The sequence below is a fragment of the Homo sapiens genome, chromosome 5 (assembly GCF_000001405.40).
Source record: "Homo sapiens chromosome 5, GRCh38.p14 Primary Assembly".
Taxonomy (NCBI): Eukaryota; Metazoa; Chordata; class Mammalia; order Primates; family Hominidae; genus Homo; species Homo sapiens.
Window position 1 is genome coordinate 77,932,835 of NC_000005.10, and position 13,998 is coordinate 77,946,832.

General features: G+C 39.7%; 1 long non-coding RNA gene across 1 annotated transcript in view, besides 2 other annotated features; it reads left to right on the plus strand.

The window, feature by feature from the left end:
* Positions 1-13,998, plus strand: part of LOC101929154 (uncharacterized) — a 74,441-nt gene that overhangs the window by 48,179 nt on the left and 12,264 nt on the right. The gene's annotated exons all lie outside the window — the stretch shown is intronic.
* Positions 2,199-2,373: a silencer, noted in NCBI's record as "fragment chr5:77230857-77231031 (GRCh37/hg19 assembly coordinates)". NCBI's record gives its function as "represses an EF-1alpha promoter that drives an FKBP-Casp9 reporter gene in an ReSE screen in both phorbol 12-myristate 13-acetate-treated (for megakaryocytic differentiation) and untreated K562 erythroleukemia cells {active_cell/tissue: K562 | K562(+PMA)}" and the evidence as "EXISTENCE:reporter gene assay evidence [ECO:0000049][PMID:32094911]".
* Positions 4,294-4,463: a silencer, noted in NCBI's record as "silent region_16116". NCBI's record gives its function as "represses an Ori minimal core promoter by ATAC-STARR-seq in GM12878 lymphoblastoid cells {active_cell/tissue: GM12878}" and the evidence as "EXISTENCE:reporter gene assay evidence [ECO:0000049][PMID:35858748]".

Genomic DNA, 13,998 nt, shown 5'->3' on the forward strand with positions numbered 1-13,998 from the left:
GAGGCAGGAGAATTGCTTGAACCTGGGAGGCGGAGGTTGCAGTGAGCCGAGATCGTGCCACTGCACTCCAGCCTGAGCAACAGAGCGAAACTCTGTCTAAATACAGGATAGGATCTCAAGCCTCTCCCCACACCTACTAAATCAAAGCCTGTATTTTAACAAGACCCTTAGGTGATCTGAATGCACAGCAAAATTTGAGAAGCTCTGATAAAAGGTCCACCTCTCGCCCCAACTTGTTCTTGTTATCTATTGCTTTATTATAAACTACCACAAAAGCTTGTGCTATATAAAAACAATGACATTGTTCTATCTCATGATTTGATGGATTAAGAATTAGGTAGTACTCACCTGAGTGATTTCTTCTGTCCCGTGATGTCAGCTCCCCAGCTGAAACATCTGGAGATGAATGGGTCAGCTCAACTAGATCCATATGTCCGGGCCCCTGGTTCTTCTCAACATGGCATGTCCTGGAACTGAAATGTCCAATATGGTGCCTCCATTCACGTGACTGGCATCTGAGCTGGGATGAGTGGAACAGCTGGAGACTGGTCCATTTCCATGCAAAGTGGTACATGGTGGCTGACTTTCCCCCCATTGAGGGGTTCAAGAGACAGGAAGTGGAGGCTGCCAATCTCTTAAAACCTGGTCTCAGAAAGTGGCACAACATCACTTCCTCCATAGATCATTGTTCATGGAATCATGGAGCCTGCCCAAATTCATGGGGAGGGAACACGGACCCCAATTTTCAACGGAGGAGGAATTTGTGGCCATCTCTAATTAGCCACAGAGCTTATTAACTGTGCATGGCAAATGGGTAGGTTTCTGAAGCACTTCAAGCCAGTCCATGGTCAGAGAGCCAAACTCTGAGGGCTTCATCATAAATAATATCTGAGGTGAGACACACCACCACCGCCAACTGTAAATACACGCACACCCCCCACAACCACAATTACACACACACACACCCCACCACCACAATTACACACACACACACCCCACCACTACCACCACACACACACATACACGCACACACACACAAACACACCATACATACACACACCACCACCACACACACACACACACACAAACACACCACACATACACACACCACCACTACCACCACCACACACACACACAAACACACCACACACACACACCACCACCACCACCACACACACAAACACACCATACAAACACATACCACCACTACCACCACCACACACACACACATACACGAACACACCACTTGTACACACACCACCACCGCCGCCACCACCACTCATACACCACATATATTTTTCTCCCAGAATGGGACTGAATTAACTACAAATGGCTCAATCTGTAAGATACTTGAAGTTAGGAGCCTGCTGTTACGCCTCCTCCTACTCTATCTTTACGCCTCCTCCTACTCTGCTCTACCTCACTTGTGTTTAAAACAGTTCTTTATACACAGTAGGTACTCAATAAATATTTGTTAATTTTGATTTGTTAATTAAATGTTGATTAATTTAATTTTAATGTTTCAATATATGGACTCCAGAAAATATGATCAGGTATCATCGTGGCAGGATTAATACACTTGAACTGAAAAAGGAAATAATAATAATATCTGAGGTGAGAAAAGGGAGATTAACTGGAAAAGGCTTTATAGGAGATGGGACTCAAATTGAACCTGGAAGCCTGAATAGGGGCTGGATAAGCAGAAAGAAATGGAAAGGCATTCCAGAGCAATTTCTAGGCCTAACCGCAGTCTGGTTTTTTGTCCTATTTCTCTATCCCTCTCCACCCTGGACATTAGGTTTCCACCACACTATGAGGATACCCACATTTTAATCTTCCCATGGTAATCTCGAGGGTACATTTGCAAAGCAGAATCTGCCTTTCCGATGGAAGTTTCCGAAGAAGTTTCCCACAGGCTCACCACCATATTACGTATTCAAGGAAAATCAACAACTTTGAACTATACCAGAGAGAGTGGTTTTCTTGAATCTGTCATGTCCTATCTTTTTTGTTTTGTTTTGTTTTTGAGATGGAGTCTCGCTCTGCTGCCCAGGCTGGAGTGCAGTGGGGAGATCTCGGCTCACTGCGAAGTCCACCTCTCAGGTTCCAGTGATTCCCCTGTCTCAGCCTCCTGAGTAGCTGGGATTACAAGTGACCACCACTATGCCTAGCTGATTTGTGTATTTTTAGTAGAGACGGGGCCAGGCTGGTCTTGAACTCCCGATCTCAAGTGATCCACCCACCTCGGCCTCCCAAAGTGCTGGAATTACAGGCGTGAGCCGCTGCGCCGGGCCTCATGTCCTATCTTAATAGAATGGACAAGTCCAGGCTTCGAGTTTCCTCGGCTCTAACTGGAATATTACAGCCATTCTACAGGAAATCCAAAGCCCAGAATGACCCTTGGATCCAGAGAAGCAGCCAGAAATATACCATGTACAAACGTGAAATTTTTAAAAGCAGAAAACCAATTGAACATAAAGTAGGTTCCCAAATACATAGAAAATAAATGTAGACAGATAAAATATTGGAAAAAAATAAGGCATAACATTAATTATTTCTTAATTGTGAAAATAGCATGATTTGTTCCTCTTATCTTTCACATATTTCAGTACGTTTCAGCAATGAGTGGGTGTTATTTTCAAAATCATAAGAACATTTTGGTATAAAGATCTATTTTTATTTCAAAGAAGATTCTAAGAACTTTCACATGACGATGAATTCTTCAAAAACACAGTTTTCACAAGCCCTGTCACAGATCCTTCTGGAGACCCGCATACTTCTAGTGTTTGCCCTGACGAATGCCAGTTCTGTTCTTCAAGATTTGCTTGTCAGAAAATGAAGACACACAGAATGAGTTATTTCAGCAGGAAGTGTTCCAGGATTCTGGAAACAGATGATGCTTTCTTTCAGCCTGTTGTCATTCTTCTCCTTCACCAAGATATTGTCGTCATCACTCTGGGTTTAACTCAGCTTGACAGTAGCCACACTTCCATGTTGCTCTTCATCTCTTCCTTTGGTAAAAGTCTGCAAATTGAGGCTCAGCTAACAGCTATTTCATACTAATCAGACACTGGGTCTAAATTAGAACCAAGAAAAGGTCTATGGCAAGATAGGGTGAGGCCACAGCGACATTTTATGCTCTGGATCACCCCTCATGAATGCTTACTAGGCCATTTGCTCTCCTCTTTTACAGGCGAGAGGGTTGTGGCTCTCACTACCTATCATAAACTATGGCAGCGTAACCCTTCACTTGCTTTTCTTATTCACTTCCAGTTTGTGCTGCTGCTAAAATATTCTGCTTCTCAGCTGCCAGTATCGGCGTCTAAATCATCCCCAGTCCAAGGCGCCAGCTCTTCTGGTGCAGAAACCACAGACTCAGCAGCCAGGATGTCATCAGCATACTCGAGATTACATCATCTCCTTCTGCCAACCTTAATACCACTATGGTAACCATCAACAGCAATACCCATGATTATTTCAGTAGAAATATTGAACAGATGTGACAGCCTTGTCAAACTCCTTTGCTGGTGTCCAACCACTCTGTTATACCTTTTGCAATTCTAAAATCTCTCTTCTGGCCATAATAGAGACAGCACATGCTGACCTCCCGCTAGGGAAACTGCTCCCATAGCGTCAGTTGGCATATCAAAGACTAACTACGAACACCACCTTATATACACAGTGCTTTACAGCCTGCTAATCATTTTTGCAGACATTCTCCTTTTTGACTCTCAAGCCAGCTGAGACAGCTGTGGTATAAGTTGAAAGGGCACTGGAGTTTCTGTCAGGAGTTTTGACTTTCTTGGTTGCTTACTACCTTTGAAATCTTGAGCAAATCACTCTGAGCTTGTTTTTTGTCAGTAAAATACTTCTTGTTCTCAACCTAACTTGAAAAACAAATGAGGTGGTACATTTAAAAATAATAAATTATGAAGATAGTTACTCAAACTAATACTTGTACATGAATGTTTCTATCAGCACTATTCACAATAGCCAAAAGGTGAAAACACCAAAATCTCTAGCAACAGACGAATGGATAAACAAAATGTGGTATATCCAGACAATAGGATATTTGTCAACCATAAAGAGGAATGGGCCAGGCGCAGTGGCTCATGCCTGTAATTTCAGCATTTTGGGAGGCTGAGACTGGCAGATGATTTGCGGTTAGGAGTTCAAGACTAGCTTGGCCAACATGGTGAAACCCTGTCTCTGCTAAAAAATATAAACATTAGCTGGGTGAGGTGGTGGCGTGCACCTGCAATCCCAGCTACTTGGAGGCTGAGGCAGGAGAGTTGCTTGAACCTGAAAGGTGGAGGTTGCAGTGAGCCGAGATTGTGCCACTGCACTCCAGCCTGGGCAACAAAGTGAGACTCCGTCTCAGAAAAAAGAGGAACAAAGTATTGAAACATGCTACAGTGTGGCTGAACCCAGAAAACATTATGCTAAGTGAAAGAAGCAAGACACACAAGATCACATATTATATGATCCCATTTATATGAAATACTCAAAGTAGGTCAATCCATAGAGGCAGAAAGCAGATTGGTGGTAGCCAGAGGCTAGGAAGAAGCAGGAAGAGGGGGTGACTGCTTAGTACAGGGTTTTCTTTTGGGGTGATAAAAATGTTTTGGAACTAGATAGAGGTGGCTCTTGCCCAACATTGTAAGTGTACTAAATGCCACTGAATTGTACACTTCAAAGTGGTAAATTTTGTTATATGAATTTTACCTTAATGAAAAATAATAATAAATTATAAAGCACATGAAAATCTAATTAGCATTTCTCAGGGGAAAAACAGCCTCAGGAAGATTAAGTGACTTATGAAAGAACAGAAACTTTCAAAACGAAACAAAGAAGTTCATTCTGAGGGGAGAATGCCGGTCTTTTGACAGGCCAGGAAGGGCTTCTATCCTGCTCTGGGTAGGAATAGAAGTCTAAGCTCTTAAGATGTCACCATTCTCAGCTCTGAAATTTTGTTCTGACTCCCGTATCTCTTGCAAAACCCAATCCCCATAGCACTGTTTCCAGCCTCTTCTACTTATCAGTTCACAGCAAAAGGAAGACAAAATGATCATTTAGAATAAGGAGGTAAAGGGTCATTGGGAGACCAGAGAACTTCTCTCTTTATCTTGTCTAAAGAAAAAGAAGGTTCCTGAATACTGAGTGATAAATTGAGAAGATAGAAAGCTTTGTTAGAATAGAAGGGAATGAAATTAAAAAAAAAAAAAAAAAGAAATGAAAGCTTTGTTAGAGATGCATATCCCTCCCCAGTTCAACCGAAGCAGAATCTGCATTTTACCAAGATTCTCAGGTAATCCGTGTGCTCAGGAAAAGTTTGAGACACAGTGCTCCGGGCCACTAGACATGTAACAGAGTCTCTCCATAATGAAAATGAGGGTGTCGGAGATGTAAACAGTAAGTCATGTTGGACCTCTTAGGCCATTTGTTCTGAGTAGAATGTTAATTTCCATCATCTTTACCAACATCTCTGAAAAGCTTGTGAACGGTGGAGAAAGCACATGGGCTGTTCACCCAGTTACAACAAACTGCAGATATTCTTAGCCTCCATTATTCTGTACCCTGAAAACCATGATGTCACCTCTCCAGTTTCTAGTAATCTCTCTAGTTCACAGGTAAATGTCCAGCAAGGCATTATTAAATTACTAAACATCACAGCTACTGGAATCTTTAGGAGTCATCTGGCCAGCGTTCCCAAATGCTATTCCACGGATCAGTTCTGAGCTAGCTACATCAAAATCACCTGGGGTGCATTTCAAAAGCAGATCCCTAGGGTGTAGAATCTTCTCATTAAGTCTGGAAAGAAGCCATGAAATATGTTTTTAAAAAGCTCTCCAGGTGATTCTAATGCACAAATTTGGACACAATCTGTCTAGCTCTGCTCATGCATCCACAGCCACAGCCCAAATACCTTCAGAAACAGAACTTTCATTGCAGAGAGCTAATTGTCAGAAAGCTCTTTCCAACACATTGCGTCAATACCTGCCTCTATAATTTCTACCTTTTGTTCTGTCCTTTTGAGCCATACAAAATCATGTGAGTGTGTTTTTGATGTAGAATCTCTCTTTCACATGATACGACAGCTTTTCAAATGTCTGGTTCCACACACTGTGTCCATATGTCTTCTCTAATAATACTTTTTGCCTTGAAGTCTATTTTGTTTGGTAATAATGAAGCTACCAACTTTTTTCCCCTAGTCTTTTACTTTTAGTCTTACTGTTTCCTAATAATTTTGATTTGTCTGTTATAAGCAAAATACAGCTAGATTTTTAAAATTCAGTCTAATAATTTCTTTGAATTGGCAAGTTTAGGCAAATTACATACACATATTACTAATATGTTTGAAATTATTTCTACCATCTTATTCTACACTCTCTTTTATCCTATTTTTCTCTCTCTCTTCTTTTCTTTCCTGCATTCTGGCAGATGGGTTGAAGTTTCTTTGCCTTCCTTCCCTCTCCCTCCTTCTCTTCCCCAAGTGCCCTGGTTTTGGAAGTTGTATCAGCATCAGTAGGCATTTATAGAGGTTATTTTTTAAAAATTTTGAATAACATGAATATGTAACAAAATCTCAACAAGCTTTAAGAATAGTTATTATTCTTAAAAATTTGGCCCATGTGCTTACCAAAATCTAAAGTTAATCACTATCTATTCTGCCTCCTCAACAAGTCATGGAGCTTAGAACCCTTTACCTACAGGCCAGGCGCCGTGGCTCACGCCTGGAATGCCAGCACTTTGGGAGGCTGAGATGAGCGTATCACCGGAGGTCAGGAGTTTGAGACCAGCCTGGCCAACATGGTGAACCCTGTCTCTACTAAAAATACAAAAATTAGCTGGGTGAGCTGGGACCTGTAGTCCCAGCTACTCGGGAGGCTGAGGTAGGAGAATCACTTGAACCCAAAATACCCGAAAGGTGGAGGTTGCAGTGAGATGAGATGGCGCCATTGCACTCCAGGCTCCATCTCAAGAAAAAAAAAAAAAAAGGGACACTTTAACTTCAAGTAATCCCCTCCTGCTTTCCATATACCTGCTGTTCAATATTTTAAATTTAGTTTTTTTTTTTAATCCCCAGTAAATTACTATTGTTGCTGTTGCTTTATGTCAGTTATTCTTTGGACTCATTCACATATTTATTTGCTTCCTTTTTTTTTTTTTTCTTTTTGAGATGGAGTTTCGCTCTTGTTGCCCAGGCTGGAGTGCGATGGTGCAATCTCAGCTCACTGCAACCTCCGCCTCCCAGGTTCAAGCAATTCTCCTGCCTCAGCCTCCAGAATAGCTGGGATTACAGGCGAGCACCACCACGCCTGGCTAATTTTTTGTATTTTTAGTAGAAACGATATTTCACCATGTTAGGCAGGCTGGTCTCGAACTCCTGACCTCAGGCTCATCTCAGCCTCCCAAAGTGCTGAGATTACAGGTGTGAGCCACTGTGCCCAGCCCTGCTTCCTATTCTTTCATCTCAATTCTTCCTTCTGGATTCAATTTTCTTATTCACTGAGGATCTATTGGTAAAATATGCTCTCAGGGTTTGTCTAAAAACATTTTCATTTTTCTCTCACTATTGTATGATAACTTAGCTGAATGCAGAGTTCTTGGTTGACAGTTATTTTTCTGAGCACTTTGACTATATTATTAATTTTCTTATGATTTTTATTGTTGCTATAAAGAAGTCAGCAAGTCTAAATGTAGTTCCTTTATAAGTTACCTATCTTCTTTTCTCTGAACTCATTAAATATTTTCTTTTTGACTTTGGTGTTTCACAGTTTCATTACAATGAATCTAAAAGTCTTAAATGTCTAAAGGTCTTAAACGCCTCCTGTTTGAGAGGCTAATTTTATACTAGGCATCTCAATTCTTGAAAACAGTAATAGACTTCTTTCTGTCTCTATGGGTTGACCTGTTTATGAAAGTGGCACAGAACAAAGAATCAGAAAACCTAGGTCCTAACTAAACAAGCCCGGTAAAAATAAACAGCCTCCATTAAAAGGCTTGCACGAAAATGTGTTATAGGTGCACTCAGTAAATATCTTCAACGCTCCCATCCTATAGGAATTGTACAAGAGTCACCTCATTTTGTTCTGTGGCTGCTACATCTTTTAGTAAACTCAAGGTCTCCCTGCCTTCAAAGCACTCTAAACTGCACTCACTCTGCATCTATCACTTTTCTGACCGATATTGGTGACAAGACTTTAAAAGGATATGAGCTATAAAATAAATATCCATGAGTTCACACTGATGTAAATACATAATTGAATAAACAGGAGGATAGGAGGGTGGTGAGGGTTGAAAAATTACCTATTGGCTACAATGTTCACTATTCGGGTGGTGAATACACTAAAAGAGCAAGATTTCACCTCTACACAATATTTCCGTGTAACAAAACTACACTTGTACCCTCTGAATCTATTAAAGTAAAAATAAATTAATAAATGGGGGAAAGAGATGCACTTCCTTATAGAAGAATCCCAAATAACTTTTGTAGATATTCCTCCCTCCAGGAGGCGGAGATCAATTCTAGCACTCCCCACCCACCCCCATCTTGGCTGTGGCTGAACTTAGTGACTTGCTTCCAAAGAACAGAATAGACAAAGGGCAGTGGGAAGGACCTTTGCAGTAGAGAAATCTGACGGTCACCACCTCAGCCAGGTGATCAAGGTTAACATCTCCAGTGATGAATCATGGTGGTAGCAGCTACCCCTTGATGTAATGTAATGAAAAGGGCACATCTCCTCCATGGTATTCTTCCCCAGACTCCAGTTTAGTCATGAGAAAAACACTGGATGAACCCAAATTGAGGGACATCCTACAAAATACCTGATCAGTAGTTCTTAAAACTCTCAAGATCATGAAAAACAAGGAAAGATCAACAAACTGTCATAGACCAGAGGAGACTAAGGAGACTAAATGCAAAATGTGGACTCCTGGATGGGATCTTGGAATGAAAAAAGAAAAAAAAAAAGGATATTACTGGAAAAGCTATTGAAATCCAAATGAAGTCTGGTGTTTAGTAAATAATGTTGTTCTAATGTTGGTTTCTTAGTTTTGGCAAATGTTCCATGGGTATGTAAAATAAGAATAGGGGAAACTGGATGATGGGTGTATGGGAATTCTCTGTGTTATCTTTGCAGCTTTTCTTAAAATCTAACACTATTCCAAAATAAAAAGAGTATTTAAAAAAACACTATCCAAAGAATTGAAAACAGGTATTCAAATAAATGCTTACATATGAATGTTGGTAACAGCAGTATTCATGATAATCAAAGGTTACAACAACCCAAATGTCCATCAATGGATAAATGGATAAACAAAATGTGGTTTTTCTATACAATAGAATATTATTCAGTCATAAAAAGGAAAGAAGTATTGATACATGCTACGATGTGAATGAATCTAGAAAACATCATGCTAAATGAAAGGAGTCAGATACACAAAGTCACATATTATATAACTCCATTTATATGAAATATCCAGAATAGATCAATCCATACAGAAAGCAGATTGGTGGTTGTCAAGGGCTGGGAGGAGGGGAAAAAGGGGAAGTTACTGCTTACAATGTATGGGCTTTTTGAGGGGGTAATAAAAATGTTTTGGAACTAGACAGAGGTTGTAGTAGTACAACATTGTAAATGTATTAAACGCCACTGAATTGTTCAGTTTAAATAGTTAATTTTATGTTATGTGAATTTCACTTCAATTGAAAAAAAAAAAAGAATATGGCTGGGCATGGTGGCTCACACCTGAAATCCCAGCACTTTGGGAGGCTGAGGTGGGCAGATGACTTGAGCTTCAGGAGTTCGAGACTAGTCTGTGCAGCACGGCGAGACTCCGTCTCTACAAAAAATCAGCAGGCATGGTGGTGCGCGCCTGTAGTCCCAGCTACTCAGGAGGCTGAGGCGGGAGGATCATCTCAGCCTGGGAGGTCGAGGCTGCAATGAGCTGAGATTGTGCCACTGCACTCCAGCCTGGGCAATAGAGCAAGACCCTGTCTGGAAAAAAAAAAAAAAAAGGAATGTTACCTAAATGTTCTAAATGTTAGGTTTGACAAGAGTCTCAGCCAAGAAACAGAGAAGGAAGAAACAGATCTAGAGTAACCGACTGGCTAACTATCCTCCAGGCACATCCTTAACAAGAAACTATAATGAGCAGGAGCTCGGAGTCTGTAGACCTAGGAAATAAAAATGCTGACATTTAGAAAAGCAGATATAAAAGAATGTAAGACAATTTTTCTAGGAAATTTTATGTGGATTACAATGCCAAAATAAAGTTCTTATTTAAGTCAGGAACATTTCTTCATTCTTCATGCTCTCCAACTTTTCTCATAACATATTTTTGCAATTATGAAGAACAGAATTATATACACCTAGAAGATAAACTCCATAAGGGAAACCCCATCTATCTTTTTTTGTACTGATCCCTTAGGGCCTACCATAATGCATGGTACATGGTGGACCACCAATAAAAGTTGGTTAAATATATTAATTTTGAAAAACATGGAATATACTAAGAAAATATTCTATTTTAATTTAGTAGCTTTTAAAATAAACGTTGCAGCTGCAATAATTAATGTGCTTTTGTTCATCAATATACACATTTTAAAATCACAATGAACTCTTCTAATGCTATGGCAAGCTTTTGATAAATGTTTAAAAAACTTTTGTAAACCAAACTATATGATTTTATTTAATTTCAGCATGGGAAAAATCATTAGTTTTCAAACTCATTTACTCATACTGTTGAAATTCCATATCCCTTATTAGCATCCATAGGTTTTTGTCCATATTTACTGATATACTAGTTAGAATTTTTAAACAAAAAAAATGTTTAGCTTACAATGTGGATAGAGTACTACCTGAACCTTGAGGATGCAATTTTTACTATTATAATTCTACTTGCCATTATGTGGCAGTGACTATAAACAGTAGCCAGTGATCCCCTTTTAGTGATTTATAGAAAAACACTGCATTTAGAGGAGGTAAGTTAAGCTAGCCTGGAGAGTTTAAAAGTTAAAACATATAAAAATCAAACTTTCCTTTATGTCTATGCATATTTTCAGAGAGAGACTAAATATAGCATTAAGTTGTGGCTTTTAAATATTTTTAGAATAACAATGTACTTGAAAGGCAGACTCTGCAAACAGACTGCCAGAGTTTGCTTCTCTTCTCCACTTGTCACCGTATGACCTCTGGAAAGTGTCTGATCCTCTAGACTCATGTCCTCAGCCTTCGAGAAGGGTGACAACAGTACTGAACCCACAGGCTGTTCATGAGGACTACTAGAAGTAATTCACCTAAGGTTTCCAAAACAGGGCTGTCAACTAACATCAACCATTTCTATTACTACTACCAAGATTACTTTGTAGCTTTGTGATAATTAAATGGAAAAGAGGTATTTTAAAAACTGTTTTTTGGCTGGGCGCCGTGGCTCACGCCTGTAATCCTAGCACTGTGGGAGGCCGAGGCAGGTGGATCACCTGAGATCAGGAGTTCGAGGCCAGCCTGGCCAACATGGCAAAACCCCGTCTCAACTAAAAATACAAAAATTAGCTGGGCGTAGTGGAAGGCGCCTATTATCCCAGCTACTTGGGAGGCTAAGGCAGGAGAATTGCTTGAACCCAAGGGGCGTAGGTTGCCAAGAGCAAAGATTGTGCCACTTCACTTCAGTCTGGGTGAAAGAGCAAAACTCTGTCAAAACAAAAAAACAAAAAACCTGTTTCTTTAAAGCACAAAGTTTTCCTCAAAAACTGATAAGTTGATTAACACTAAGCTATATTTTTATACAAAGAATTTCCTGCCAGGTTTATGAATATTTCCCATAAGGAATCATTTCAAGGATTTGAACTAGAAAGAAAAGTCAGTCCCAGTTATTTGGGAAGTTGAGGAAGAAGGATTGCTTGAGCCCAGGAGTTTGACGCTATAGTGCACTATGATCATGCGTGTGAATAGATTCTGCACTCCAGCCTGAGCAACATAGCAAGACCCTGTCTTGAAAGAAAAAGAAAAAAAGAAAGAAAAGAAAGAAAGAAAAGGGAGAAAAAGAAAGAAGAAAGAGAGAGAGGAAGGAAAGAAGGAAGAGAGAGAGAGAGAGAAAGAAAGAGAAGAAGAAAAGAGAAAGAGAAAAAGAAAAAAATGAAAGAGAAGAAAGAAGAAAGAGAAAGAAAAAGAGAAGAAAGAAGAAAAGAAAGAAGAGAAAGAAAAAAAGAAGGAAGAAAGAAAGAGAAAAAAGAAAGAAGAGACAGAGAAAAAGAAAGCAAGAAAGAAAAATAAAGAAAGAAAGATGTTTTAATTCAAAAATGAAAACCACAATGGTGGAATGGTGGAGGGAATATATTCTTCATGTTTATGCTTCATAGCAGCCATGGATATCAGCCCCAATAATTACTGACGCCAAAGGATATCAATTTTAAAAATCAGTCATTCTTCCACTTAGAATTTTTTAATATAAGATCAGGAACCTTATATTCTTTCTGAGATACATGAAAAATTTCCCAAATGACATTGTTTCCTTTAATATTAATTTTAATAATTTTAAATGTTCTCAATAACATAAGTCTATGTAAATAATTATTCATAAATAGATACCAGATGTCAGTAAGCCAGTAACATATGAATCTACAGAAATAATTGTTCTATAGATGCAAATGCCTTAGGAAGAATAAGCTAAAGATACTTCTGTCAGCTGGGGGCGGGGTTGCTGTCTAGGTGAGACCTAGAACTGTAAGCCAGTCAGCAGGGAGCCTTTCATCAATTCCACCATTTTTCATGCAGCCCAAGACAAAGCTCTCAATTTTGCTATGGCTGTGTATTCCTGTCTCTAGCAATTAAATAAATATTTGCCACTTATTCCAATAACAGAGATGCTGTGAGGATTCAAGAGATAATATTTGTTAAGAGCCATGACATGCTCATAAACATAAAACATTATGCCTGATAAAGATGATGGTTCTTGCCTTGGCATGCTCTGTTGAAGACATATGGTGATTGGTAACATCAAGGGCAAGAAGGATAAGCCACCTCTGCAGCTCCAATGTGACCTCAGCCCAGGGTCTGGGGTGGACAGAGCCAGGTGGCCAGAGCAGGGTAGTGGCCCTACACATGAGGTTCCTGAGGGCCGTTGATGAGGGCAAAGCTCTCAGGTCACCTCTTGTCTCCAGGTTCCAGGATAGCTGGAGGTCAGTCCAAGGAAGATTCATTCATCACTGGACAGCTCCCAGCCCAGCCAGTCCAGCTGAATGGAAGGCTGCCCTCGCAGGAGAAGCTGACGACTGTCAACAATGGCCTTTGTTCATTCTTCCAGAAAAGGAACACTGAAACCATGCTAAGCCCTTCAAACTCTCTTAAATATTGAAAATAAGAAAAAGAGCAGAGGAGATTTTTTAATCACTCACATAACAGCATTTGGAAACAATCACTTTTTTAAAAATGTAAATGTGCTCCTCTGGTGCTGTGCATGAAAAAACAGAAAACTTTTCATTTTCCGTCTTTTGTTTTCATAAGGATAAAATGTGAAATAAACTTCCTTAATTTTCACTTCAGTGTTTGCAGCTTAGGATTCCATTAATATATCCTTTTCCCCTCGGTTGTGCAGGGTCCTCGTTTGCAGTCAGTTCATTCTGCACTGATGTATATTTCATTGCCCAAGGCTTAATTTTGATTTATTGTCCATCCATAAATTAGAAAAATATGCTCTGGAATTCCATCCCGCTGAAAAGCTGTGCCTGATGTCAGGGGACTGGGTGATATTTAAGATGTCAGAAATACATATTGGATTAGTGTGCTTTGTTTCCCCACAACAGCAGGTGTTTAATCATAGCTGATGGCTGAAGTTAAATGCATTAGGACAGCAGCAGCCAAGAAGATGGAGTTTTTCTAAACCATACAAACTCCAGGATAAATAACTCAAAACTAATTGTGTGTCCACATCTTAGATACATTTTTATTTACTTAATACATTAAACAATGAAAATAGCCTCTGGCACTTAACTTC